The sequence below is a fragment of the Homo sapiens genome, chromosome 1, assembly GCF_000001405.40.
Source record: "Homo sapiens chromosome 1, GRCh38.p14 Primary Assembly".
Lineage (NCBI taxonomy): Eukaryota > Metazoa > Chordata > Mammalia > Primates > Hominidae > Homo > Homo sapiens.
Window position 1 is genome coordinate 226,214,695 of NC_000001.11, and position 27,759 is coordinate 226,242,453.

General features: G+C 43.0%; 2 protein-coding genes and 1 long non-coding RNA gene across 17 annotated transcripts in view, besides 3 other annotated features; 2 read left to right on the plus strand and 1 right to left on the minus strand.

Annotated features, from left to right (window-relative positions):
* Window positions 259–1,224: an enhancer, noted in NCBI's record as "H3K27ac-H3K4me1 hESC enhancer chr1:226402654-226403619 (GRCh37/hg19 assembly coordinates)". NCBI's record gives its function as "activates a minimal SCP1, AML or CMV promoter by ChIP-STARR-seq in naive H9 embryonic stem cells {active_cell/tissue: H9 hESC(naive)}" and the evidence as "EXISTENCE:reporter gene assay evidence [ECO:0000049][PMID:30033119]".
* On the plus strand, window positions 7,445–7,804 carry LOC124904528 (uncharacterized). Its single transcript, XR_007066907.1, has 2 exons — window positions 7,445–7,530; window positions 7,645–7,804. It is a non-coding gene; the product is annotated as an uncharacterized LOC124904528 (long non-coding RNA).
* Window positions 7,805–8,969: 1,165 nt separating this feature from the next.
* On the plus strand, window positions 8,970–12,366 carry MIXL1 (Mix paired-like homeobox). Of its 2 annotated transcripts, none has more exons than NM_001282402.2 (2): window positions 8,970–9,380; window positions 10,789–12,366. In NM_001282402.2, exons 1-2 carry the CDS (start codon window positions 8,988–8,990, stop codon window positions 11,116–11,118), a joined length of 723 nt encoding a protein of 240 aa, NP_001269331.1. In that variant the 5' UTR covers window positions 8,970–8,987; the 3' UTR covers window positions 11,119–12,366. The 2 variants fall into 2 exon arrangements, with proteins under 2 accessions (NP_001269331.1, NP_114150.1); NM_031944.3 differs by having other exon boundaries at window positions 10,813–12,366.
* Window positions 9,289–9,348: an enhancer, noted in NCBI's record as "active region_2647". NCBI's record gives its function as "activates an Ori minimal core promoter by ATAC-STARR-seq in GM12878 lymphoblastoid cells {active_cell/tissue: GM12878}" and the evidence as "EXISTENCE:reporter gene assay evidence [ECO:0000049][PMID:35858748]".
* Window positions 9,394–9,688: a silencer, noted in NCBI's record as "tiled region #4175; K562 Repressive DNase matched - State 4:PromP". NCBI's record gives its function as "represses a minimal TATA promoter and a strong SV40 promoter by Sharpr-MPRA in K562 cells {active_cell/tissue: K562}" and the evidence as "EXISTENCE:reporter gene assay evidence [ECO:0000049][PMID:27701403]".
* A 4,088-nt stretch (window positions 12,367–16,454) lies between the features above and the next one.
* The window catches only part of LIN9 (lin-9 DREAM MuvB core complex component), a 78,619-nt gene continuing 67,314 nt past the window's right edge, over window positions 16,455–27,759 (minus strand). For 12 of the 14 annotated variants that reach the window (XM_017001084.2, XM_047418546.1, XM_024446565.2 and 9 more), the window contains 4 exons: window positions 24,277–24,402; window positions 18,650–18,829; window positions 18,402–18,499; window positions 16,455–17,912 (listed from right to left, as the gene is read on the minus strand). In XM_017001084.2, coding sequence (XP_016856573.2) covers window positions 17,807–17,912; window positions 18,402–18,499; window positions 18,650–18,829; window positions 24,277–24,402 — 510 coding nt within the window. In that variant the 3' untranslated portion in view covers window positions 16,455–17,806. The remainder of the gene's footprint in view (window positions 17,913–18,401; window positions 18,500–18,649; window positions 18,830–24,276; window positions 24,403–27,759) is intronic. The other 2 variants (NM_001270410.2, NM_001366245.2) reach the window with 1 other exon arrangement.

The following is a 27,759-nucleotide window of genomic DNA, read 5'->3' on the forward strand; positions in this document are numbered from 1 at the left end:
GACTGAGTGTGCAGGAGGTGGGAGTGGCCTTCCAGAGTGGGCTCCCTATCCCCAGCTGCTTCCCCAAGATGAGGCCTGGGCCTATGCACCCCATCCCTGCTAGAGCTACCAGAAAGGATGCACCCTCTGTGTGGCCCGATGCTGGGTGTGTTTCTGATGCCTCACTGAGGGTCACTGTTAGGGGCTGTGGTTAGGGAAGTCCCTTCTCCCAGACTTCTAAATGAACAGTTGTAAGCTGATCCACTGTGTGGCCATCTTGCCACCTGTGCTGATATAGCCTCCAGCGCCTCATTTGGAGTAAATTTAACAGATAAGAAAAAATTCCTGGAGACATCCAGAACTCAACCCAGAGGCCCCAGAAACTTGCACAGGACAACAGGGGAGAAGAGATGGACCTCCCGGGTAAAGGGTTGTTGGTGGAAGGAAAAGCATCCCCCTTGATTTTCCTTGTCTGTGTGTCCCAGATCTTCCTCTGGGGCCGCTGGGTCCTCAGGGTCCATGCCCCACAGCCTGATGCCTGTGCTGGGGGTAGAGTGCGGTCTTCCAAGCCTGGGCCCCAGCCTGCCTGCTGTGCTGGCTCTCTGCAGGCCTGGCACATTCTGCATTTGTACTTTTGTTCACACCTCTGCTCCCAGGGTCCTTCTCACGACCTACCTAAACCCTGCCTCCTTTCAGGCTCGGCCCTGGCCCCCTTCATCCAGAAAGCCTCCTCCCCACACTCAAACCCGCCCCTACCTCTCCACCAAGCCCATATTCCCCAGACACTGAGCACAGCCAGGTGTTCTGTGGGGTGTGTAGGAACTAGGGCTTGGTGGCTGTGGCTTGTGCAGCCTGCCCTGGGGAGGATTCCCCAGAGGAAAAGTCATGCTCACATCCGGCACTGCACTCCTCCAGCCCCTGGCTCCACAGGGAGGGACTGGGGCTGTCGAGTCTCCTCTGGGTTCACACAGCGAGAGCCACCTCAGACCAGAAGACCTTGCCTTCCCAAAATGGTACTTTTGTTCTCATGCTCACTATCTTCTACCTCTCTCAAAGATGCTTTTTTTTAAAGCTTTTTATTCTGGAAAATCTCAAATATACACAAAAGTAGAGAGAGTCGTAGAATGAATCCTCATGACCTAGCTTCAACTGTTACCAGTTTCCAGCCGGCAACCTTGCTTCTTCTCCATTTCCCTCTCCTTCCCTTAGCCTCAAACTAGATTATTTTGAAGCAAATCCCAGACATTTTATTATTTCATCTGCCAAAATTTCTGCATATATCTCTAAAAGACGAGGAGGCTTTTAAAAATATGACCCCAAAATCACCATATAAACTAAAAGAAAATTAACCACAATTCCATTATCTCACATCTAATGCTTAAAATGTCCCAACTTTTCCTAGAAATAAATATTTACAGATAGTTTGCTTCAATCAGGATCCAATCATTGCATTTGGTTCATATGTCTTTTAGGTCTCTTTGAATCTATAGGTTCTTTTTCTATCTCTCTCTTTTGCAGTTGCTTTGATTATCTGATGAAGCAGCTGGCTGTTTATCCTGTAGACCCCGCAGCAGTCTGGTTTTTGTTGATTGTCTTCCTGTAGCGATGTGGGGAGAGTTCTTGTTCCCTGCAGTTCTTTCGAATAGGCAGTGAGTTCCAATGCTGGATTCGATTCTGGTTTTATATTTTGGCAAGAATGATTCATAGGTGGTAGTGTGTATTTCTACAGGGAAGTAGTTATCAGTAGCCACGAAGGTCATTGCTTAGGCCCATTATTTGATCAGAGGTTGCCAAATGGGGCTATTCTAACTGTAGCATCCCTTCTTTATTTACTAGCAGAATACTTCCATAAGGAGGAACTTTTCTTCGTCAGCAGTCTGTTTACCTTGTGTTGCAGTAATACAGAAAAGGCAGGACAAATGCTTGCCTCCTTCTCTTGGCTTACCAGTTTGCAGAATTAAGCATTTTTTCCCTAGAACCTTCCAAGGGGATCAGTTTTGTTTCCCCAGGATCATCACAAAATAATAGATTTTAACACATTTAATGTGTTTCAGTCTACTGCTGTTATTTTTCTTATTGATGCTCACACTCTCATATGTTTGGCTAGTGGGAGCCTCCTCATATTATTTATTGAGAGTGTTTGCTACCTTGGTAGACGGTTACAGTTTTCTTGTTTTCAGCTATGACTATTCCAGGCCTGTGGTGTTTTTTTTTGTTTTTGTTATTGTTTTTGAGGCAGATTCTCGCTCTGATGCCCAGGCTGGAGTGCAGTGGTGCGATCTCAGCTCACTGTAACCTCTGCCTCCCGGGTTCAAGCGATCCTCCTGCCTTAGCCTCCCAAGTAGCTGGGACTATAGGTGCACGCCACCATGCCCAGCTAATTATTGTATTTTTGGTAGAGACAGGATTTTGCCATGTTGGCCAGGCTGGTCTCGAACTCCTGACCTCAAACAATCAGCACGCCTTGGCCTCCCAAAGTGCTGGGATTACAGGCATGAGCCACTGCACCTGGCCCAGGTTTGTGTATTTTTTCTCCCAGGCCTAGAATGAGCCATTTCTCAGTGGAGTGTTTTTTTCTCTTGTGGGAAATGGTATGGAGAGACGAGAGTCTGAGTGCTAATGGCTTTCAATGATCGCACAATGGGCAACCACGTTATAAACACGGCTCTCTTTGGCACTATTTGTACAAGTGATAAACCCAAAGTGAATGCAGATTTGGGGCAATATATGAGAATGAGCTGAGTGTAGGTCTAAGGGAGATTCCCGAGAGGGGTGAGTCGGCTGAGCCAGATGGACTTCCTCAGTGCAGGCCAGCCACTCACCCAAGCAGCCAGGCTGCTAAACAGAAGAGATTCTTCTTACGTACTGCAACTCGGGGCCTGGCCTGACACGAGTTGGTGCTTGGAGCACGTGAGTTCAATGTAAAAGAAGAGGTCAAAGTTATTTCCTCTTCCATCTACATGAGTACAGAAAGTTCAGGTTACTATGAAGGCTAAATGCCCAATCGCCTGAGAGAGTAGAACTGTTGATTTCAAACCACATCTTCCTAGTGCACACTGAAATGAATGAGGATCTATTTGAAAGTGTCTTATTATATCCCAGATCCTCCAAGAACCTGTGTTTGATTAGATAACAGAGTGGCATTTTACCTGCAGGATGTCTTCCAGCGATTACAGGCAATCCAAAGAGAAAATGTTTGGGAAATACACACCCAATGTGTGCAGGCTGGGACAGAGTCCAGAATTGATCTTAGGTTACTCTGGGTGTCTGCTAACACTTTAATAAATTATTTGGGGCAGGGTGCAGTGGCTCACGCCTGTAATCCCAAAACACTGGAGGCTGAGGCGGGCAGATCACTTGAGGTCAGGTGTTTGAGACCAGCCTGGCCAACATGGCAAAACCCCATCTCTACTAAAAATACAAAAAAATAGCTGGGCATGGTGGTGCGCACCTGTAATTCCAGCTACTTGGGAGGCTGAGGCAGGAGAATTGCCTGAATCTGGGAAGTAGAGGTTGCAGTGAGCCGAGATTGTGCCATTGCACTTGAGTCTGGGCGACAAGAGCAAAACTCCGTCTCAAAAAATAAATAAATAAAAATTAAAAAAATAAATTATTTGGGAGCAGAAAAGACAAATATTGGCAGATTCTATGTTCTCCTAATGCCTCTCTCTTTACTTGTCCTTGTCCAGTATGACTTCATGCAAGATATGTGATACACATGAATTCAATATCATGTCATATCCCACAGAGTCAGTGAATGACAGCAGAGTTTCACTGTATGGTTAGAAAATAATTAAATGAGGTTTAAGTCAAATGACAATGTTAAAGAAACTTGTATTATTATTCCTTAGTAGTATCATAATTCTTTAGCCAGCAAGTGACCTCAAATTGTCACTTTTGGAGAAAGATAATTTACGAATGCTACAGTAACGTGTTTTTGTTTTTTAAAGACAGGGTCTTGCTCTGGTGTCCAGGCTGGAGTGCAGTGGTGTAATTATAGCTCACTGCAGCTTCAAACTCCTCCTGGGCTCAAGCAATCTTCCCACCTCAGCCTCCTGAGTAGCTGGACTATACGTGTGCACCTCCATACCCGACTAATTACAATAATATTTAACACGCTTTTTGCCAAATCTATAGGAGTCTGTCAGGTATAAAATGAAGTAACGGGCTGGGCGCGGTGGCTAACACCTATAATCCCGGCACTTTGGGAGGCTGAGATGGGCGGATCACCAGAGGTCAGGAGTTCAAGACCAGCCTGGCCAACATGGTGAAACCCCATCTCTACTAAAAATACAAAAATTAGCTGGGCGGGGTAGCACATGTCTGTAATCCCAGCTACTTGGGAGGCTGAGGCAGGAGAATTGCTTGAACCTGGGAGGCAGAGGTTGCAGTGAGCTGAGATCATGCCACTGCATTCCCACCTGGGTAACAGAGTGAGACTCTGTCTCAATAAAATAAAATAATAAAATAAAATAACAACTTTGATGATCCAGAGTTGTGATTAAACAATAAAAATGAGAGTCTAGAATTCAAGTCTAGTGTATTATTTTGTACCAACTGGATACCTCTCTGTATATACACATAAAAGGTTATCAGAGCCGGGCACAGTGGCTCACACCTGTAATCCCAGCACTTTGGGAGGCTAAGATGGGTGGATCGCTTGAACCCAGAAGTTTCAGACCAGTCTGAGCAACATGGCGAAACCCTCATCTCTACAAAAAATACAAAAATTAGCTGGGCATAGTGGTGCGCACTTGTAGTCCCAGCTATTTGGGAGGCTGAGGTGGGAGAATCACCTGAGCCTGAGGAGGTAGAGGCTGCAGTGAGCTGTGATCCACTGCACTCCAGCCTGGGTGACAGAGCAAGACCCTGTCTCGAAAAAAGTAAATAAAATAAAATTATCAAAAAAGGGTGATTGGCCGGGCGCGGTGGCTCACGCCTGTAATCCCAGCACTTTGGGAGGCCGAGGCGGGTGGATCACGAGGTCAGGAGATCGAGACCATCCTGGCTAACACGGTGAAACCCCGTCTCTACTAAAAATACAAAAAATTAGCTGGGCATGGTAGCAGGCGCCTGTAGTCCCACCTACTCAGGAGGCTGAGGCAGGAGAATGGCGTGAATCTGGGGGGTGGAGCTTGCAGTGAGCTGAGATCGCACCACTGCACTCCAGCCTGGGTGACAGAGCGAGACTTCATCTCAAAACAAACAAACAAACAAACAAAAAGGGTGATTTGCTGGATGACGGTTTAGGGCTGTGCTGATAGATATGGAAGCTACTAGCCACCTATGGGTAAATTCAAATCTGCTAAAATGAAATGAAAAATTCAGTTCTTCAGTCACAGTAGCCCCATTTCAAGTGCTCAGTGCATACACTGAAGAAAGGAATATCAGTCAAATGTCAGGTTTGAGAATATTCTGCTAGTTGTTTCAGTTCTTCGTTTCAAGTATGCAGATATAAGTTTGGAAAACTTCTGGATTCTGTTCTCTGAGGTTGAAATGTTATTTTAACTTTATTGGTTAACTGTGTGGATTGGGGTTGCAAAAGACTCCTCTGTGTGAGACGAGGCTTCAGGCAAAAATAGTGGGAGGAAGAAAAGGAATCACTATTTTAAAATACACGTTGGGTTCAGCATCTATTGTGTGCTTAGTTTTTGAATGTATATGGTGCCAAATACACAACAACAAACAAGGCTTCTTAACGAGGGGATTTAATCACTTTCCTGGCACATTAATACCTTTTGGGGGCTGTTGTCTTTCAGTCTGTTGTAACCACTGGTTCTGAAATAAACTTCAGGAATTGTGGAGGCCTGGGCAGCCAGAGGAGAGGAAATCAAAGTGAGGCCAGGATCAAAGGGGCAAACAGCGCTGCGGATCTCAAGGTGGAAGCAGAGCCGTCAACTCCCCTCGGCTGTCTTTTCCTGGTTTTCCCTTTAATAAATACCCAGGATCTCGGCCAGGTCTTAGGCAGTGGAGGGCCTGACTTGAACAACAAAGAGAGCCCGGGGAAGAGAGTACTTAGCACTTGGGGAGGAAAGACAGGCCTCTGTGATATTTGGGTGATTCAGTGACAGGAACCGTGGTGGGAAATGTTGAGGACGCAGAACGGGACAGTGACCCCAAGTGGCCCCATCCTGCCCAGACTGGGCTGCTGTAGAACCGGCCCTGGATCCAGATAATCATGTTTTTTTTTCCCTACTGCCTCTTGTATTTACTGGTCTTCCCTCATTATACAGGAAGCATCCTTGAGGATTGTCTTCTATTTCACCTTGCCTTCCCTTGTGTCTATTTCAAGTTACTGACAGACTAAATGTAAATAATGGCCAAAATCTCTCAGCAAATCAAGTGGTGAGCTCGCCCAGGTGCTGGAGAGGGAGGAATCCAGATCCTAATCTCAGTGATTGCTGTCTTCAGCTAACCCTGAACTTAAGTTTGCTATGCTGGAGCTGGTCAGCTGATGTGCTTCTGTAGAAAAAAAGCACTTTATGGAGCTTTATACATCACAGGGTATCTGTTTTGGGAAAATAACTTGCAATAATTATTTTAAAAATTATATTGCCAAGGATAGGGCTCTTCCCATTTTCCTATTGAAAAACTGAATATAGAAGAATTAGCAAATGGATATGTGATATACATATCCATTGTATGCCTGCAGCAGGGTAACTGAGTCAGGAATCTAGAACTTGGATATAGTGAAAACCATTTATATGTTTATAAGTGTCTGTCAAAGAAGAGAAGTAGCAAATCATTTTAATTTCAAGTGCTTTTGTAGAAACTCAATATGACTTCTATCTTTCCAACCCTAGTCAATGAAAATCCCAAGTGAAATGGGAAATCCACTCGCATGGAGAAGTAATTTCTTTTTTCTTTTTCTTTTCTTTTTTTTTTTTTTGAGATGGAGTCTCAGTCAGTCACCCAGGCTGGAGTGCAGTGGCGCGATCTTGGCTCACTGCAACCTCTGCCTCCCGGGTTCAAGCAATTCTCCTGCCTCAGCCTCCTGAGTAGCTGGGATTACAGGCTTGTGCCACCACGCCCGGCTAATAATTGTTTATTTATTTATTTATTTATTTATTTATTTATTTATTTATTTTGAGACGAAGTCTCGCTCTGTCACCCAGGCTGGAGTGCAGTGGCATGATCTCAGCTCACTGCAAGCTCCACCTCCCAGGTTCACGCCATTCTCCTGCCTCAGCCTCCTGAGTAGCTGGGACTACAGGTGCCCACCACCATGCTCGGCTAATTTTTTTTTTTGTATTTTTAGTAGAGACGGGGTTTCACCGTGTTAGCCAGGATAGTCTCGATCTCCTGACCTGGTGATCCGCCCGCCTCAGCCTCCCAAAGTGCTGGGATTACAGGCATGAGCCACTGCACCTGGCCAATGGATGTTGGCTGTTTTGGAGATGCTGGGGAATTAACTTTTTTTTTTTTTTCTGAGTCAGAGTTTCACTCTTGTTGCCCAGGCTGGAGTGCAATGGCACAATCTTGGCTCACTGCAACCAAGAGAAGAGGGGGAAAGAAAGGAGAAGGGGTGGAAGGAAGATGGAAGAGCAGGAGGTAAGTATATCAGCTGCCCAGAAGGGCCTCAGGGGCTACACAGGACACAGTCCCTGCCAACCCCACCCCTTACCACAGCCAGGAGAGAATCAAGCCCAAAATTCTTCTCTGCAGCAGCTCCAAGAAAACTTTCCGCTTTGCCACCTGGAATGTCCACCCAGGATAAAAAGATCCAAGCTCTTCTGAGACTGTCTTTTGACCTTCTAGAATGCAGAGACAGGACGGGGATTGTGCCCTGAAAGATCCTCCCAATAAAGATCTCCCTTTGAGTCGACCACAGTGAGTGATCCCGGTGAAATCAGCGCTCAGGTGCTGGGGGCAAAAAGACCTGGGCCTCTGTGTTCCTCTCTTGAGTTCTTGCACTGTGGTGGGGCAGTTCCCATAGTGGACCATGGGTTTCTCTTTCAATAAGGAGAGCTCAGTGACATCCAATTCGACAGACATTCACTAAGGGGCCTAGCACCGCGCCTCACGCAGAATAGGTGTACAAAGCAGACACTCAATAAACTCAGAAAGGGAGAGGTGGGTTCCTGCTTGCTAAGACTTTATATCTAGCAGATAGAGAAACCATAACCATAGCACAAAGTAGAGAAAATGGGAGCTTTCAGAGCCCCAAGGGGCAGAGGAAAGAATGATGATTCAGGGCGCGTGGAAACTTCATGAGGTGGCTTTCATCTCCTCCCATCCAATAGACGGGTCTTAAGCATTGTTGAGTATCTCCAGAAAGGCCAAACTGCGCCGTATCCTCTGCTAATGGGGCACGTTGCCAACCCCGCCCTACCTAGGGTATCTTTATTGGTGGGCCCATGGACATTCCAGCCAGACCCCCCCACTCCCCCCACCCATTTAATCAGGAGGAATGTGCTGCCCCCTGGATCCTTTATCTTCACCCCCCTCCCCGCTTGGATTCAGGATGTGTTAGGGAGGCTTGCAGAAGACAGGGGCCGGGCTGTTTGACCAACCTGGTACAGGGTCTAGCACATAGCAGGGGTGGTAAATAAATAGCTTTGATGAGGACAGACGGGACTAGGGCAAGGCTCAAGGCCCAGGCCATGTAAGGCACAGGCCAGGCAAGGTGCTTCCGCCGCTCTTAACGGGGATTTGACCCGGAGAAGAGAGTTCTGTCGCCTGCGGCCCGCGCACCCGGGCCCCTCCGGGCTGCCCCTCCCAGGCAAATAGTCCTTCGGGGATGTGGATTGCGCCGTCCGGGCGGGTGGGCGGGGAAGAACACGGAGGGGGCCGGGACCCAAGTTCACGCCTCCCTCCTGCATCCCGCAGCCGGCGGAAGCGATTATTCCCCGGCGTCTGGCGGGGCCGGGGGCGGGCTCGCACCCGGAGGAGACACGGGTCTCCCCGAGCCCACCTTTGATCGCACCGCCCCGCCTTCCCAGCCCCTGGCCCGGGAGGGTATAAGTGCGGCCCGCGCCCCTCCGAGCGGCGCGCTGGGTTCCGGAGCGATGGCCACAGCCGAGTCCCGTGCGCTCCAGTTTGCCGAGGGCGCCGCGTTTCCAGCGTACCGGGCCCCCCACGCCGGCGGGGCGCTCCTGCCGCCCCCGAGCCCTGCGGCAGCCCTGCTCCCTGCGCCGCCCGCGGGCCCCGGCCCAGCGACCTTTGCGGGCTTCCTCGGCCGGGACCCCGGGCCGGCCCCGCCGCCCCCCGCCAGCCTGGGCTCGCCTGCGCCCCCCAAAGGCGCGGCCGCCCCGTCGGCGTCGCAGCGCCGCAAGCGCACGTCTTTCAGCGCCGAACAGCTGCAGCTGCTGGAGCTCGTCTTCCGCCGGACCCGGTACCCCGACATCCACTTGCGCGAGCGCCTGGCCGCGCTCACCCTGCTCCCCGAGTCCAGGATCCAGGTGAGGGCCCGCTGCGTTCGCAAGTGCGCGCTGGAGCGGAGGCGCTGCGGACTCTAGGTCTGGACTGCGGGCTCCTGAGGCCACACCCGGGACGTTGCAGGCACGGTGCTTCCCCTGAGGCTCTGCGTACTAGACTGAAATAGGGGGTGATATCGGCACCTGCTGCATAGGGTGGTTGCGAGGCCTGTGTGAAATAATTTAGGCCTGCACTGAACGATTTCTCTCATTATTAAATATAATAAGGGCTCCTAGGAGGCTAGCCGGTCCCCTGAAATGGCCAGAAAGTAATTCCCAGCAGGAAGATAAGAAGTTTTACACTTTTTCTTTATCCGGGAAGAAGACACAGATGAGGGGCAGTTGGGGTTTTCCTCTGGCTTTGAGCGTGAGAATGGTAGCTGAAAACGGGGAAGGCTGGCTCGCCAAGTTACCCCCATGCTACTTTCTTGGCAAGTGTTACGTTTTGGGATTAGATTTGAAAGGATGTAGCGAATTGAGATAAAGCGAGAAGCACCTGGAGCTTGTTTTCAGTTTGAAAAATCTAGTGCAAGGTGTGTTTATTTTTATTTATTTAGTTTTTATTTGAGATGGAGTTTTAACTCTTGTTGCCCAGGCTGGAGTGCAATGGCGCGATCTGGGCTCACTGCAACCTCCGCCTCCCAGGTTCAAGTGATTCTCCTGCCTCAGCCTCCCGAGTAGCTGAGATTACAGGCGCCAGCCACCACGCCCAGCTAATTTTTGTATTTTTAGTAGAGACGGGGTTTTACCATGTTGGTCAGGCTGGTTTCGAACTCCTGACCTCAGGTGATCCACCCGCCTCAAAGTGCTGGGATTACAGGCGTGAGCCACCGCGCCCGGCCGTGTTTATTATCTAAAGTAATTTAGATCAGAATCTTAGAGTTGGTAAGGAGAAGCCTGCCTTTTTGTCTGTCTGTAGCCCCGTGGTCGGTGTCCAAGCGCAGTTTTAAGTAGCAGCCCTCATTTAAACACTGGGAGAGTGGACTTGTTTTCTCTGCACCCCTGGCGGTCATACAGCTGTCAGTCTCAACAGCTGGCATGAGCAAAATACCTCCTTGATTAGTTTGACAAGGGAGTGCAGACCTTAAAAAACAGGTTTTCTTCATAATTTAATGCAGTTTTTTTCTAAGAATTCTAAGTGCTTCCATTTTTGTGACCCCATTTTTCATGAAAATTTCTCTAACTAAAGAGTAGATAGAACTAGGCATTATTCCAATGTTTCCATCTGGGAATGGGGAGGCAAGGAAAGCCAGGTGTTCTGAACTTCTAATCGTCAACCCAAGTGCTTTCTGAAGACAAGGCTCTGGAGAGGAAGCCAGGGGATGTTAAACTGGAACTTACCAGTATGAACTGTGAACATAATGTTAGCATAAAAAACTCCAACCAAAAGCAGCTTTTATTTTCTCCCCTCTTCCAGGTATGGTTCCAGAACAGGCGTGCCAAGTCTCGGCGTCAGAGTGGGAAATCCTTCCAACCTTTGGCTAGGCCGGAGATTATCCTCAACCACTGTGCTCCTGGAACTGAAACGAAATGTCTGAAGCCCCAGCTGCCTCTTGAGGTAGATGTGAACTGCCTGCCCGAACCAAACGGGGTTGGAGGGGGCATCTCTGACTCTAGCTCCCAAGGTCAGAATTTTGAAACCTGTTCCCCTCTCTCTGAAGACATTGGTTCAAAGCTGGACTCATGGGAGGAACACATCTTTTCTGCCTTTGGTAACTTTTGAGGATTCTGGGAGAATTCGGGATAAGCTCTGAGGAGCCATGACTGACAGCCTGGGAGAGACACATCAGCATACTGTCCTTTCTGACTTCCATGCTAAGGACATGTCCTTGTTAACCTTGATGATGGTTTTGACAGCACCTCTCACATTTGAAGGTACCCCGCCACTTTGTCAATGACGTTTTAAGCCCACACTCCCACCCCAGAGTTCCCGCATTCGTTTTTACCTGTGTTCTCTCCAAGCCTGCACATTCCATTGGTCTGCATCCCTATGCCTTCTTGCCAGGCCTGTTTTTAGTTTTTGGACTGGTTGTTCAGAACTCATTATTTTCTTCACAAGAATGCCTCAGCTTGACTCAGTTTCCCCTTGTGTTTGACAGCTGCCATTTTCTCCTGGTCCCTCCAAGGCTTATAATCTTAAAGTCACTCTACCCCGTCTCTTCAACCCTCATCCTAGGTTTATTACTTTTTAAAATTGGGCCTGTCATCTTCACGTTCAATCATAGCTCCAATGACTCTGCATGCAGATTATTTCGACAGCCCCCTTGCCTCTAGCTTCTCAACTACTTAAAAAAAATTACCCTCTGTGGGCCAGGTGCAGTGGCTCACTCCTGCAATCTCAGCACTTTGGGAGGCCGAGTGGGTGGATCACCTGAAGTCAGGAGTTCAAGACCAGCCTGGCCAATATGGCGAAACCCCATCTCTGCTAAAAATATAAAACTTAGCTGGGCACGGTGACGGGAGCCTGTAGTCCCAGCTACTCAGGAGGCTGAGGCAGGAGAATCACTTGAGCCTGGGAGGTGGAGGTTGCAGTGATCTAAGATCGTGCCACTGCACTTCAGCCTGGGAGACAGAGGGAGGCTCTCAAAAAAAAAAAAAAAAAAAAAAAAAATTACTCTATGGTTCTGTGGTAGCCTCCAGTTGCTACCAAATTATAAAAAGCTTTCAGTTACCCTCCCAGATAACTGATATCATCCTTAGCCTGCAGGACAGCTATGCAAATCTGAAGGTCAACTATCCACAATATATGCTTTGGTCTTAAAGTCACTCCTTTCAGTTTTGAACCAAATTCATACCTTTTGCTTTCAAAACACTCGAGGACTCCCCACCTGCCTTCTGAAGTCTGAAATTTTCTCTAAGTAATCCTGATTTTGCACCTGTTACTTCGATCACTCCATTACCCTTAGCACTTGTTATTGTACTTCCTGTGCAAGTTTTGTGGATTATTAAATGTCTTTCACAAATGTTCCAATGTAATTTCTATTTAAATGAATTCTTCTAGATAACTCCTAGTACAGTGCTTCACTCCACAATTGCTCAGTACATACTATGTGGCCATGAAAGACATTTCTAAAAGTTTCTGCAAATGTAGTTTTTAGCCAGTAATCAATATTATATCAGCAGGCCACTGAGCTGAGAAATTTAATTGGGTTAAAAACATTTTTGCTTGAATGTTTAATAATATTTTGTGAGTATTTTGGTTTTGGGAAATTTCTCTTTGCAATTTATAATTCTAAATGTATGTAAATAACCGTTTCTAAGTCAGTCTAAGATCAATTAAAATATTTTGATATTTTGAGAGTTTTCAAACTCCTTTAGAGTCAAAGGAAATGGTCTGTGTATGAGGCAACCACAGGTGAAGTTTCTTTGTAAACTGTGCTTTAAAGTAGGCTCATGGGATGCCATAGCTAGCTAGGGCCAGGACATCATGTCTTGATGGTTACTAGAAGAGCATGAGATTATACATGCCAGATGCCCTAATTTTCAGAGATGTTATTCAAGTGGTTTGTACTTTTCTTTTTTTGAGATGGAGTTTTGCTCTGTCACCCAGGCTGGAGTGTAGTGGCATGATCTTGGCTCACTGCAACCTCTGCCTCCCGGGTTCAAGCGATTCTCCTGCCTCAGCCTCCCGAGTAGCTGGGATTACAGGCGCCCGTCACCACGCCCAGCTAATTTTGTATTTTTTAAAGCAACCAAGAGCTGGGCAACAGAGCAAGACTGTGTCAAAAAACACCACAACATACAAAAATTAGCTGGGCATGGTGGCACATGCCTGTAATCCCAGCTACTCAGGAGGCAGAGGCAGGAGAACTGCTTGAACCTGGGAGGTGGAGGTTGCAGTGAGCCAAGATCGTGCCACTGCACTCCAGCCTGGGCAACAGAGCAAGAATCCATCTCAAAAAACAAAAACAACAAAAACCAACCAAGAGTTTCCAAGCACTTAGGAGTTGAGGAAAAAAGCAAGCAAGCAAGCAACCAACCAGGAGGTTGGGCACAGTAGCTCATGCCTGTAATTCCAGCAGTTTGGGAGGCTGAAGTGGGAGGTTTGCCTGACCCCAGGAGTTTGAGACCAGTCTGGACAACATAGCAAGACCCTGTCTCTTGAAAAAAAAAAAAAAAAAAGCCAGGCACGGTGGCTCACGCTGTAATCCCAGGACTTTGGGAGGCTAAGGCAGGCAGATCACTTGAGGTCAGGAGTTCAAGACCAGCCTGGCCAACATGGTGAAACCCTCTCTCTACTAAAAATACAAAAATTAGCTGGGCATGGTGGCAGGTGTCTGTAGTCCCAGCTACTCAGGAGACTGAGGCAGGAGAATTGCTTGAACTCGGGAGGCGGAGGTTGCACTGAGCCGAGACTGGGCCACTGCACTCCAGCCTGGGTGACAGTGAGACTCTGTCTCAAAAAAAAAAAAAAAAAAAAAAAGTCAGGCATGGTGGCATGTGCCTGTGGTCCCAGCTAATCGTGAGGCTGATGTGGGAGGACTGCTTGAGTTCAGGAGTTCAAGGCTGCAGTGACCTATGAGCGTGCCACTGCACTCAGCCTGAGTGACAGAGTGAGACCTTGTCCCTGCCATTCCCCCAGCAAAAAGCAGCCAAGAGAACATAGTTGAGGCCTTAGCAGCAAAGTGTACTTATCGATTCTTTGAAAACTGTTTGAAACCAAAAATGAGCTGATAAACATTAGCTATTAACACTGTGCTCAGGGCCCATCCTGGAGGTGCTCAGGAGGTCTCACAATCACAGAGCTTTACATTTAAACTTGTGACTTACATTTAAACTTGTGACATGGCCAAATGAGATACTGCAAATACATCCACAAAACTGAAAGACATATAACACTTTAAATTATGGTCCACTAAGAATCGCACTTACGAAAAAATCTGGTAATTATTTTATTATTGCTTTTATATTGTCTCATGTTGTTTCCCCAGTGAACAACTGTAAAAATCTATAAATATGTAAATCCTGTTGTCACATTTTAAATTGTGGGATCCTCTAAGAAGTAGCCTGCAGCTCTCTCAAACTCTAAGAGGCCCTAACTGCTAAATGTGTTACAGACATTATCTATTTTATCCTCACACCTACCATGTAAGACAGGGACTAATCTTCCTACTTTAAAGATCAAGAAACTGAATCTAAGTAGTGTCTCACAATTATACAGCTTATAAATGGCATGGCCAGGACTCAAACTCAGCCCACCCATTAGTCTACCACCATACAGTGCCTCCTATATTGCAGTGGTCTTGTTAGTCAGGACTAATGATAAAGTAATGTGATAGGTTTAAAAGCAATCACCAAGTCAGAATTTCTACATGCCAGTCATTACTGTCTCATCTTTCAAGGAAATCACCACGGAAGACCATACTCTTATTCTGATGACATTAATGTTGCTTAGAGCTTTTTTGAAACTCTCATTTGCCCACTCATTACACAAATATTTATTTGTTGCCCATGAACAGGCACTTTACCAGGACCTGGAAATAAATGGTGAACAAAAACAGAAACAGTCCCTCCCCTCATGGAGCAGAGGCTAGTAGGGAGACAAAAGACCTCCAAGAAATATTAATATTAAATTGCAAATGTGCCAAGTGCTGGAAGGAGAGATATATGATCTGGAGACATTGTAATAGATGTGCTGTGGTTAATGAAAGCTTCCTTGAAAAAGTGATGCTGAAGGTGAGATCTGGAAGATGATCAAGAGTTACAAGGAGAGGAGAGGGAACACACTGCATGTGCAAAGACCCTGTGAAGTAACGAGCAGATAAAGAAGTGGGGGGGGGGGGGCCAGATCATGCATGGCTTTATAGGTCTTGTAAAAGAGTTTTGAATTTGTCCTGAAAGCCAAATGAAGACTTTAAAAGCATTTATAGACAGAGGGATAACATGATCCATTCTGCATTTTAAGATGATCCCTCTGACTGCATTTGAAGAGGGCTGAGTAGATGCTGGGAGGTAAGTTAGGAGACAATTGCAGTGTTCCAGGCCAGTGATGATGGCAGCTGGGCTGCAAGTAGTGGTGATAATGAAGATGGAGAGAGGTGCATTGATTCAAAAATGCTAATGGGCAAATATTTTTGTAGATTCTCAATGGTTACGAGTGAATGTGACTTTTGGAACTAGCTTAAAGTAACTCAGAACCAAATCTATATAAATAAAAGCCATGTATGTGCTTGCATGTTTGCTCAATCTGGCTTTGATAGCTTTCTTTAGAGCTCCGAAAGTGTGTTAAGCAGTGGCATATCATTCAAATCAATGTATGGCTGACCCAACATGACTACTTGGAAATATAGATTTCTTCCTCCCAAAACAGAAATAAAATTCAACTGTATTCTCCAGCACAGTCCCTGCTGTCAACACATGAAGGCACTGAAAGATAAACAGTGCTCAATTAAATATGTGTAAAATGAGGTACTATTTAAGTGTGACAAATAAGCCTTAAGAAATGTAAGTAAGACAGGCCGGGTATGGTGGCTCACACCTGTAATCCCAGCACTTTGGGAGGCTGAGGCAGGTGGATCACTTGAGGTTGGGAGTTCGAGACCAGCCTGACCAATACGGTGAAACTCTGTTTCTACTAAAAATACAAAAATTAGCCAGGCGTGGTGGCGCGTGCCTGTAATCCCAGCTACTCAGGAGGCTGAGGTGGAAGAATCCCTTGAACCCAAGACCTGGAGGTTGTGGTGAGCTGAGATTGCATCACTGCACTCCAGCCTGGGCGACAGAGAAAAAAAAAAAGAAATGTAAAAGAAAAAATGCACAAAATACCCAATTCTAGGCAGAATATATTAAAATCAACCTTTCACTAGGTCTATACCAGGCCAAATAACTTACCTGCTTAATACCATACCACTGGATGGTATGGTAATAAATAAAATCCGTATCACTGGATGGTATGGTATGGTAATAAATAAAATCCATACCATTGGATGGTATGGTACTTCAGAGAGACTCGGTAATCTGTACTGTTTCCCCTAAAAATATAACTTAATGGAAATTACAATTCTTCAAAACTTTTTAAACAGAAGGAATGCATATTGACTTGAATTAAATGAAAATATAGAAAATAATAATTTTCATAGATCAATTTATTTAGAATTACAAATATTAAGAATAGAAGATTTATGCATTTCTTAATTAACATAACAGTTTAGCTAAATATAAACTCTGCACTAAAGTTCTGCAGTGGCACAATACCAACAAAGAATACGGAAGCCTTTTTAAACTATACAAAAATTTCAAATGGAAAATAATCTTGTTTCAGTTTTATTATACATTAACATATAAAAAGTCTCATTTTATGAGACATCTAAAGGAATTAAAACCACCTCTACAGCTATATCTTAAACTCCAAATTTGAAAAAAATTTATATTTTGAGTTTATAATATTCTATTAAAACGAAGAAAATTCCAAATACATACTTTTTACAAGATTAACATTTTAGGCAGCGTTTTCCTAAAAAAGAAAAACAACCAAAACAAGCCTTTCTTCTGCATTTCACAGCACTGGTTATTATATTTGTTTTCCTTATAAAATCTTTTTACTTTATAAATTGTGTACTGTTGGATTTTAACCAGTAATCTGGTTTAAAAGTTGTGCAAATAAACAAAAAAATATGAAAATAGTGTGTTATCATTTTTTTTTTAATAAATCTCACAACAATGCACTTTTGACCTGAACTGATGGGAAGACATGCCAAATCCATTTTTAGAAATTTAGCATTTTGCACCTTTTTTCCCCCTGTTCCTTCATTTTCTTTCAACAAACAACAAAGGTTTCTTTTATATGTTATGATAAATTAAAATATTTATTATTATAAAATGATCTACAGAACCATGTCACATTGCAAGTATATATAACATATACTTGTAAAGTCCACATTTCCCATCTATATTTCAGTGGTTTCCTTAAAACTAGGACTTCCCACACCTCATGATGTTATCTTTTGAAGACTGAGATGGTGATCAACTAAATCAAGTGGAGTTGTAATTTTCTGGATGGAATTTCCACACTGCCACCGACATGAATAAAAAGACCAGGTTTCTTCATACTCTCCATTGCAGCAGTTGTCTGCATGTGTTGCGGTGAATTCATGCACATTAAAAAAAATGGTCAATGTATTCTTCCACGAAATTATATTATGTTCAGATATTTCAGTTTAAAAATATTTGTGAATATAAACATATGTAACATAAGCAATGCTACTGCATCTGAATAATAAAAGAAAAATAAATATAATGCTGGTCAGCAATGCTGGTTTAAGAAGCAGTACAGTCTATTAAAATGCCTTATTTGGAGATTTAAATTTCCCTTGTTTTCCAGCAGTTAGGTTATTTGGTGTTGGAAGCCTATATAAAGGAAAAGAACTTCTCAAAAACAATGTCCCGTGCAGTTGGAATAATGAAATCTTTACTCAGTCTCTGTTGGTGTTATTTGCTGCAAAGGCATGTAAGTTTCCCATCTGGCTCAGGCCACTCTGAATATGTGCAACATGGATTTCTACATTATTCTGAAAGCAACTAAAGAAAGAAGAAACATGGTTAACTACTTTATTTCAAAAAATTAAGAAAAAAATTTTTAAAAGAAGACCTGAATTTTAGTTAGGAAACAGCTATGATAAATCTTAGGGAAGGAATAAATCTCCTCTAATATATTAGCCATAATTCTACTTCAGTAGTAGTTGAACAAATATGCTCTAAAGAAGCAAAGGAGCCACGGGGGGCTGGAAGGAGAAGATGAGTCTCTCACTGACTGGGGAAGCTCTACCTCTAAGCTCAACCTCCATGCTGACCCCAAACCTAAATATATGTCCTGATTTCTTTATATACAAAATCCATGTGAAATTTCTATTCTGTCCATAGGCTGGATATAAGTGAAAAGCTCTTACAAATATATTTAACGGATAATAATATATGAGTACTTCACAAATATGCATAATTCTTAAAACCTGGACTGAAAATTACTATGAACTTCACATTAAAATGATTAGAGTATACCTAACGAATTACCTGATATTAGAAGCGTCTATTGTACTCTTGATATCATTTAATGAGTCTGTAAGTGATTTGAATTCAAAGGAATTCAGGTCTCCTCCTTCTGCTAGACACTAAAGGGAAAAAAATTTCAAAATTTAATTGCATTATAGCTCAAATATAGTCATAAAATACCTGATATAATCAATGAATTAATTTCTTAGCAACAAATTAGCGTGGGTTGCTTTGTGTCAAATTAAGAAAATATTTTCTCTAAGATTTACCTTAATTTGTAACAAAATAGCTGTAAGCCTGGAAATTAAGTCTGTCAGATTTTCATTTTCAACGCAGGGCTGTCCTGTTGAGGAATTTGCATGCCGAACAATTTCCTGTGCTTCTTCCTCACACCTGCGTCTCATATCTGTTGGCTGATCTGCAGGCTGGAGCCCCTGGTCTGGAGCAAGCTGAATACAGATGATTGAAGCATGAGACGCATGTTCGAGAAGCCATGATTATTTCTGTATGTGTTTGTGCCCTCTTTTCAGATTTTAATTTTTATAAAACTAGCATTTAAAACTAAAGTGGTACTCTTACCTTAGAAGTTTTTTTCCTTTAACAGTTTCTGATTTTCTATTTTTTGTAATTTTTAATTTTGATATAATTTCAAACTTCTAAAAAAAGTTAAAAGAATAAAACAAAGAACTCTTGATAACATTTACTCAGATTTACTGTTTATGTTTTACTACATTTGATCTGCCATTTGATCTCTGTGAATGTATAATTCTTCCCGTTACTAATTTAAGAATAAGTTGCAAACACTGTGCCTCATTACCTCTAATCACTCCAGTTTGTATTTCCTTGGTATTTTTGAAGAGTACGAGCCAATTATTTTGTGTAATATCCCCCAATGTGGGTTTGTTTGTTTCCTTATGATTAGACTGAAGTTATGCATTTTTGGGCAGAAATACTACAAATGTGGTGCTGAGTTCTCTGGCATCTTTATTAGAAGGCACGTGATGTTGACCTGTCCCATTACTGGTGATGTTCTCTTTGATCAATTGGTAAGTTAAGTGTCTGCCAGATTTCCCTACAGTAAAGGATTTCCTTTTTGTAAGTACTAAGTAGTTGTGAAGAGATACTTTGAGGCTATGTAAACATCCTATTTGTCATCAAACTTTTACCTACCAATTTTAGCATCTGTTGATGATTCTTGTCTATATCAATTATTACTATGATGGTTGCAAAATGGTGTTTTTCTCACTCTTAACACTGCTTCTATATTTATTAGTTGGCATTTTACTACAAAGTAGTTTCCCTTAAAAAATGAACTAGTATCAGTATGAACCCATACTGACATAACTTTTATTCTATGGGTTATAATCTCTTACTATATTTATTTATTCTGAAGCTCAAATTGTCCCAGATTTGGCCAGTGGGAACCCTGTCAAGCTGGCCCTTTTTGACACGTCCCCGTAATTTGGGGGCACATTTTACTTCCTTGGCATAATAAGGTGGGCCGGGCTCATCTTCTTTCTCTGCCTCAGGTCTGGAATCAGTCTCTTTTTCAAGAAGTCCTGCTTTTTTAAATTGGAGAACAGAGATAAGAGACCAAGATCTGGGTCTAGTGTGTTCTTTGCTATTAGGGTGTCTTTGCTTTTGGCTCTCTCAGCAGACATATACACTCACTTATACATATAGCATAAAGATAAAATAAACCATGAATTCATACTGATTCCCCCTATTCCCATCTAATGCCACAGGGTTCACTCTAGTCTTCCCCCTCTTCATAACTGCCTTCTTCAACAGTGAGAAACCTGGCTCGCGTTATCCTAAATTTTTTTTTTTTTTTTTTGAGACAGTCTCACTCTGTTGCCCAGGCTGGAGTGCAGTGGTGCGATCTCAGCTCACTGCAACCTCTGCCTCCCAGGTTCAATATACTTATTTGCTTCTTTGCTCAGTCCTAGAGTACACAGTAAGAGTTTCAGAACTGCTGCTGGGTGTGGTGGCTCATGCCTGTAATCCCAGTACTTTGGGAGGCCGAGGTGGGTGGATCACCTGAGGTCAGGAGTTCAAGACCAGCCTGGCCAACATGTCTCTACTAAAAATATAAAAATTAGCTGGGCATGGTGGTACATGCCTGTAATCATAGCTACTGGGGAGGCTGAGGCAGGAGAATCGCTTGAACCCCGGAGGCAGAGGTTGCAGTGAACCGAGATTGCGCCCCTGTACTCCAGCCTGGTGGACAAGAGCGAAAATCCGTCTCAAAAAAAAAAAAAAAAAAAAAGAGTTTCAGGACTGCTATGCATGCCACCAAGAGAAAAAATTCTACTAACTAGAGTTCAATGTTTATTTAAATTTTGGTTCAGACTAAAGGTATACAGTCAAAATATAAGTTGAGTATCCCTTATCCAAAATGCTTGGGACCAGAAGTGTTTTGGATTTAGGATTTTTTAAAATTTTAGAATATTTGCATTATACTTACCGGTTGAGAATCCCAAATACAAAACTCCAAAATCCAAACTGCTCCAGGGAGCATTTCCTTTGAGTTTCACTTTGGCACTCAAAAAATTTTGGACTTTGGAGCATTTCAGACTTGGGATGCTCAACCTATGCTATGTTCAAGCTATCTGAATCAGTTTTTATCCCCTTCAGTAAGTTTATGTCACTCCTTTGAAATATAGTTAGGTTCATTTATTTCTGTTTGCATTTACTTGTATTTGTTGGGGAAACAAACACTCAGAAAAATGTCATTCCTTCTTGCTCACCAACTCCTACCCCATTCCCAAATTAGTTTCTAATGTATCCTTTCTGCTTCCTTTTGAAAAATTAAGCTGATACATATACATTGTATTTCCACTTATTTCCTACTCCAAAGGTTATACTTTGGAATATGTATGTGTATTTTCGTATTTGCTTTTTGCATCTAATAACATATCCTGGAAATCACTCTGTGTCAGTAAATAGAGAACTTCCTCTCTTACAGCAGCATAGTATTCAATTGTGTGGATGTACCATAAATAGTCAGTTCCCTATGTGTGGGCATTTATGTTTATTTCTAATATTTTTTAATTACCAATAATGCTTCAATGAATAACTGTATCCTTTAATACTTTTCTAAAATTTAAATTGAAGCATACATAAATACATAAAAGTACACAAATCGTAAAGTGTACAGGTTAATGAGTTTTCACAAATCAAACATGCCTGAGAAGTCAGCAACTAGATTAAGAACCAGAATATTACCAATGCCCCAGACCCCCTGATAATGCCATCTTCCAGTACCACCTCCCTCAGGGTAATCACCATCCTGACTTCTAGCATCAGAGGTTAGCTTTTGAGCTTTATAAAAATGTAATCATACATTATATATTCTCTTGTGTCTGACTTTATTTATTTATTTATTTATTTTTTCTTGAGACTGAGTCTCGCTCTGTTGCCCAGGCTGGAGTGCAATGGCGCAATCTCGGCTCACTGCAAGCTCCGCCTCCTGGGTTCACGCCATTCTCCTGCCTCAGCCTCCCGAGTAGCTGGGACTACAGGCGCCCGCCACCACGCCCAGCTAATTTTTTTTGTATTTTTAGTAGAGACAGGTTTTCACCGTGTTAGCCAGGATGGTCTCGATCTCCTGACCTCGTGATCCGCCTGCCTTGGCCTCCCAAAGTGCTGGGATTACAGGCGTGAGCCACCGCACCCGGCGTGTCTGACTTTATTTGTTCCACATTGTGTTTGTGAGATCCATCTATGGCACTGAGTTGTAGTCGAGTTCATTCATTCTCATTGCTGGGTAGCATTTCCATTGTGTAATTATACCATGTTTATTAGTTGATTGTAGTACTGATGGGTATTTGGGTACTTTGTGATTTCTGGCTATAAGGAACAGTGAGGCTATGAACATTCTAGTATATGTATTTTGGTAAATACATGTTGATGTATCTTTTTGGTATATATTGAGAAGTAGAATTGCTTAGTCATGGTGTTCTCTCTGATATGTTCTTATTTTAAAATCTATATTGTAGTTCCATAAGAGCTTTGAGAAGATTAAATCACTTTACTTCATTAGGAAAGGAGCCTATCACAAATGGCCTTGGGTACTACAAAAAGATTGATGAGCAACCCGTTTCTGCATGTACCATCAGCTTTGTTATGTGTCATCCTGGACTGCATAGTCTGCATGTCTTGTGAATAATTGCTAGTCCAGGGGAGAAAATCTATTTACTAATACAATGCATATTGTTATGTGGATGACTGACAACTATCAGGAAAATAAGCCAACTGTTTAAAAATCTGATATTGCTGGGCGCGGTGACTCATGCCTGTAATCCCAGCACTTTGGGAGGCTGAGGCAGGCGGATCACCTGAGGTCGGGAGTTTGAGACCAGCCTCATCAACATGGAGAAACCCTGTCTCTACTAAAAATACAAAATTACCTGGGCGTGGTAATGCATGCCTGTAATCCCAGCTACTCGGGAGGCTGAGGCAGGAGAATCACTTGAACCTGGGAGGCAGAGGTTGCAGTGGGCCGAGATGATGCCACTGCACTCCAGCCTGGGCAACAAGGGCGAAACTCTGTCTCAAAAAAAAAAAAAAAAAAAAAATCTGGTATCACAGCTGGGCACAGTGGCTCATGTCTCTAATCCAAGCACTTTGGGAGGCCGAGGAGGGCGGATCACTTGAGGTCAGGAGTTCGAGACCAGCCTGGCCTATAATATGGTGAAACCCCATCTCTACTAAAAATACAAAAAAATTAGCCGGGCATGGTGGTGCACAGCTGTAATCCTAGCTACTCAGAAGGCTGAGGCAGGAGAATTGCTTGAACCTGGGAGGCAGAGGTTCCAGTGAGCCGAGATTGTGCCACTGCACTCCAGCCTGGGCAACAGAGTAAGACTCTGTCTCAAAAAAAAAAAAAAAAGAATCTGATATCACAAATAGAGGTGGCTTTCCTGGAAACACACAACCTCAAAGTATGCAAATTCAGGAGCATTTTAAACTCAACTGAATCATTTTAATTCTTACCCTGTAGTAGGAAACTCAAATTTTGGATGAAACTGTTGAACCACTCTCATATGATCACATGTGAATGAAAATTCACAAACAACCCTGTTATCTATGTATTTGAAATTCAAGAATTCATAGTTCTAATGCTAATTTAAGGTTTAAAAGAGAAGGCAACAAAATTGTATGGCCAGCATGATCAGAACTTTGTGAGAAAAAGCAGGTATTGTTTAAAAAACAAAAACAAAAAAACAACCAAAAAAGACTAAGAAGAAATAAAGCAAAATTTGGTCTTTGGGGCTGGGCACAGTGGCTCACACCTATATCTCAGTACTTTGGAAGGCCAAGGTAGGAGGATCGCTTGAGCCCACGAGTTTGAGACCAGCCTGAGCAACATAGCGAGACTTCATCTCTATAAAAAATAAACTGGGCATGTCGTGCACCTGTGGTTCCAGCTACTCAGGAGGCTGAGGTTGGGGGATAGCTTGAGCCTGGGAAGTTGAGGCTGTAGTTCGCCAAGATTGCAAGATTGCATCACTGTACTCCAGCCTGGTCAACAGAGCTAGACCCTGTCTCAAAAAAAATAAATAAATAAATAAAGAAGAAGAAAAAACAATGACAACAACAAAATTTGGTTTCTGGGGTAGTGGAATTAAGAGTAATTAGTTTTCTGGATTTTTCCAAATTTTTTTGGAGGGCCTTATTTGTATCTTGAACCAAAAAACTCAGAATTGACAGCTTTCTGTGTATAAAGCACTCTTCAACACTGATGCTGGGAGGAGTAAGAAACTTTATATAATACAGTTCTGCTAAAGGACTTTATGAAGATATTGGCTTGGTATGGATTTTCTAAAGTGTGAAAGTAAAAGGATTAAGCTTCAAATACAAATATGGAGGGAAATCTATACATATCACTTACCTCATAGCAATACTGTTGAACTTTATGCAAAACTTTGTTTAGGTCCTTGTTCAGCTGTTCAAGCTCCAGAACAATTGTTGCATATCTCCGCTGAAATTCAATGCTGATGGGCATGGAATATGATTTCTGAGAAGAGAAAAAAATCAGATCTTGGTAAGAGTTTGTTTTTTAGCAATGCAATTTCAATGATCTAAAAGGAGATTTGACTTATCTAAAAAGCAAACTAAAGGTTATTAAATTTGTCTGTTTTAATTGTTATAGTCTTGTCTGTGATAATGGCATTGTTATTTAGGAGATTGTCCTTGTTTATTGGAGCATCATGATGTCTGCCATTTGCTTTTTTGAAAAGGAGATCTTCTATAGAGATAAATTAAATGGAGCAAAATGTTAATTGATAAATGTGTAAGCAATGTTCGTTATATTCGTCTTTCAACTTTTTCATAGGATTGTTAGTTGTTAAACCGTATGTCCTCATTTAAAGCATTCTAGTTATTTAAATCAATTGACGCTGTACCTGGAATCAATTCAGTATAGCATAATGGTTTAAGAGCGTGGGTATTAGAATCAGATTATATATGTTCAAATTCCACCTCTATCATCATCTAGCTGTGTGATGTTAAGGAAGTTTCTTAATCTCTCTGTGCCTCATGTTCCTCAACTGCAAAATGGGGATTATAAGAATATCTATCTAGTGGGGTTGTTGCAAAGATTAAATGAGATAATACATGCTAGCACAGTGCTTCCCACATAGAAGATGCTCAATGGATATTAACTTTTTATTGTGTCATCATTCCATATATGCTCCTTACCAACAAGTGTTAATGGACTTTGATGCCATTTCCTTCCCTCTCTTCACAATACTTCCAATAAATTATACTCTCCATTTCATTCCTGCTAAAAATGCTGGCAATGAAACCTCTCTAGTCAAGGAAAATTTAACATTTCTTTTTTCAGAGGATTTCTGAGAAAGCACGTTGTTATGCACTAAGGAAGCAAAATCGCTCCTTCTAGTAAGTATAGGTAGGGAAAGAAAACTTTCCTAGACCTAGGGAGGAACTACTTATATAGGTTCCAAATCACAGAATTATAGACTGAGCTAACAGAAACCTCAGAGGTCATCTAGTTAAGCCATACCATTTTACAGAGGAGAAAACTGAGGCCTAGAAAAGTTAAATGACTTAACAGCACACACTATTAATGATGTGCTGATTACTTAATGATGACAACAGATGTACTAAATAGAGCTGACTAACGTGCCATGCACTAAGAGTGGTTTTGTTGTTGTTGTTTTTGGGATGGCGTCTTGCTATGTTGCCCAGGCTAGACTCGAACTCCTGGCCTGAAGCCATCCTCCTGCCTCAGCCTCCCAAGTAGCTGTGACTATAGCATGTGCCACCACACCCAGCTTGTTCTAAGTTTTTTTTTTTTTTTTTTTGAGACAGGGTTTCACTCCCGTCACCCAGGCTGGAGTGCAATGACGTGATCTCCGCTCACTACAACCTCTGCCTCCTAAGCTCAAGCAATCCTTCTGCCTCAGCCTCTCAAGTAGGTGGGACTACAGGTGCGTGCCATCACACCTGGCTAATTGTTGTACTTTTAGTGGAGATGGGGTTTCATCATGTTGGCCAGGCTGGTCTCGAACTCCTGACCTCAAGTGATCTGCCTGCCTTGGCCTCCCTAAGTGCTGGGATTACAGGTGTGAGCCACCGCGCCTGGCCTGTTTTGTTTTTTAGAGACAGGGTCTCACTCTGTTGCCCAGGCAGGACTGCAGTGGCATGATCATAACTCAGTGCAGCCTCAAACTCCTGGACTCAAAGGATCCTCCTGTCTCAGCCTCCCAAGTAGCTTGGACTACAGGCATGTGCCACTATGCCTGGCTAATGTTCTAAGTGTTTTTAAAGGATTTCATTGAATCCTCACAATAACCCCATGAGAAAGAAGATATTATTGCTTATTGTCTCCATTTTACATATGAGGCCCATGTACCGCAGCCAGTAAGTGGTAACCTTGTGGGATCTGAAGCCAGTTTGCATCAGTTAGAATTCCTCTGCTACTATAGATCTGAAGCAGTAAAAGAGAAAGAGGGGAGGGAATGCCACAGTGGGAGTAGGGAAGGGATAATTTCCACATAGGCCTGGAATCATATCCAGGACATCCTACTTTTAGTTTACCATTGGTGCTTCCTGAATTGCTTCCTATTCGTAAACCTCAGTTTTTGTGAAGTTAAAACCACTGGATCATCCGAAAGATTTTCTATAAGAATGCAGGGATAATGCAGGACATGCTGAATTTAATTTCATTTCCTTGTTGGGAATTGGGGGTTACTGAGGATATAGTGTAACATAAATTATAACTAAGTATTTGATCAAGCCTCTTCTCGGGGAAAAGTGTATACTTTTGCAGACTCAGAACTAGTTAATCAAAATCAAAATCATTAAAAGCTCTATCTCTTACAGCGAATTTGAGGGTGTCAAAAGTCTCTATCTTCATCTTTTGTGTTCAACATTTTAATGAATTAAAGATGTACAAAGGGTTTACATATACAGTATACATCAAAATGTATGAAATTGGGAGATGGCTAATGCATTACAAAATGGGGTGATATAGGCCGGGTGCGGTGGCTCACGCCTGTAATCCCAGCACTTTGGGAGGCTGAGGCGGGTGGATCACGAGGTCAGGAGATCGAGACCATCCTGGCTAACACGGTGAAACCCCGTCTCTACTAAAAATACAAAAAATTAGCTGGGTGTGGTGGCAGGTGCCTGCAGTCCCAGCTACTCGGGAGGCTGAGGCAGGAGAATGGCATGAACCCGCGAGGTGGAGCTTGCAGTGAACTGAGATCGCGCCACTGCACTCCAGCCTGGGCGACAGAGCGAGACTCTGTTTCAAAAAAAAAAAAGAAAAGGGGGTGATGTAACTAATGAACCATAAAAAAAATTCCAACACTAAACAGATATATACTTCCTGTCAAAATTATCATCTGGTTATATCTCCAACTTCTAAAAATATTTTTTGAGCTCCCTTTTTTGAAGCTGTTCTCAAAGTCTTTATCTTTTTGAGTATCTCCCAATGATGGAAAATATTTCCCTTATCTTCTTAAACATCTAAATAATAAAGGGTTAATATAGAAGAATAAATGTACAAGAATGACCAAACCAATTTTGAAAGAGAAAGACAAATGGAGGGACTTGTACTGGTAGTTATCAAACAGTATGGTATTGACATGGGAGACAAATACACCAATGGGAGAGAATGGTGGCCAGTCTATACTGAATTCCAACACATATGTATATGTATGCCTGGCACATATGTTTGTGTGTGTACGAATATATGTATATTGTTTGGAAATTTTGTATATAGTAAAGCTGGCCTTTCAAATCAGTGGGAAAGGATGAACTATTAATAAATTGGAACAATTATCTATTTGAGGAAAAAAGCTCTCTGTACTCAAATCATTCACAAAATTTTAGGATGTACTGAAGG

Coding starts and splice junctions, on each gene's coding strand:
- MIXL1 (NM_001282402.2), top strand. CDS start 8,988: ATGGCCACAGCCGAGTCCCGTGCGCTCCAGTTTGCCGAGGGCGCCGCG. Junction 9,381..10,788: donor TCCCCGAGTCCAGGATCCAG/GTGAGGGCCCGC, acceptor AACCAAAAGCAG/CTTTTATTTTCTCCCCTCTT.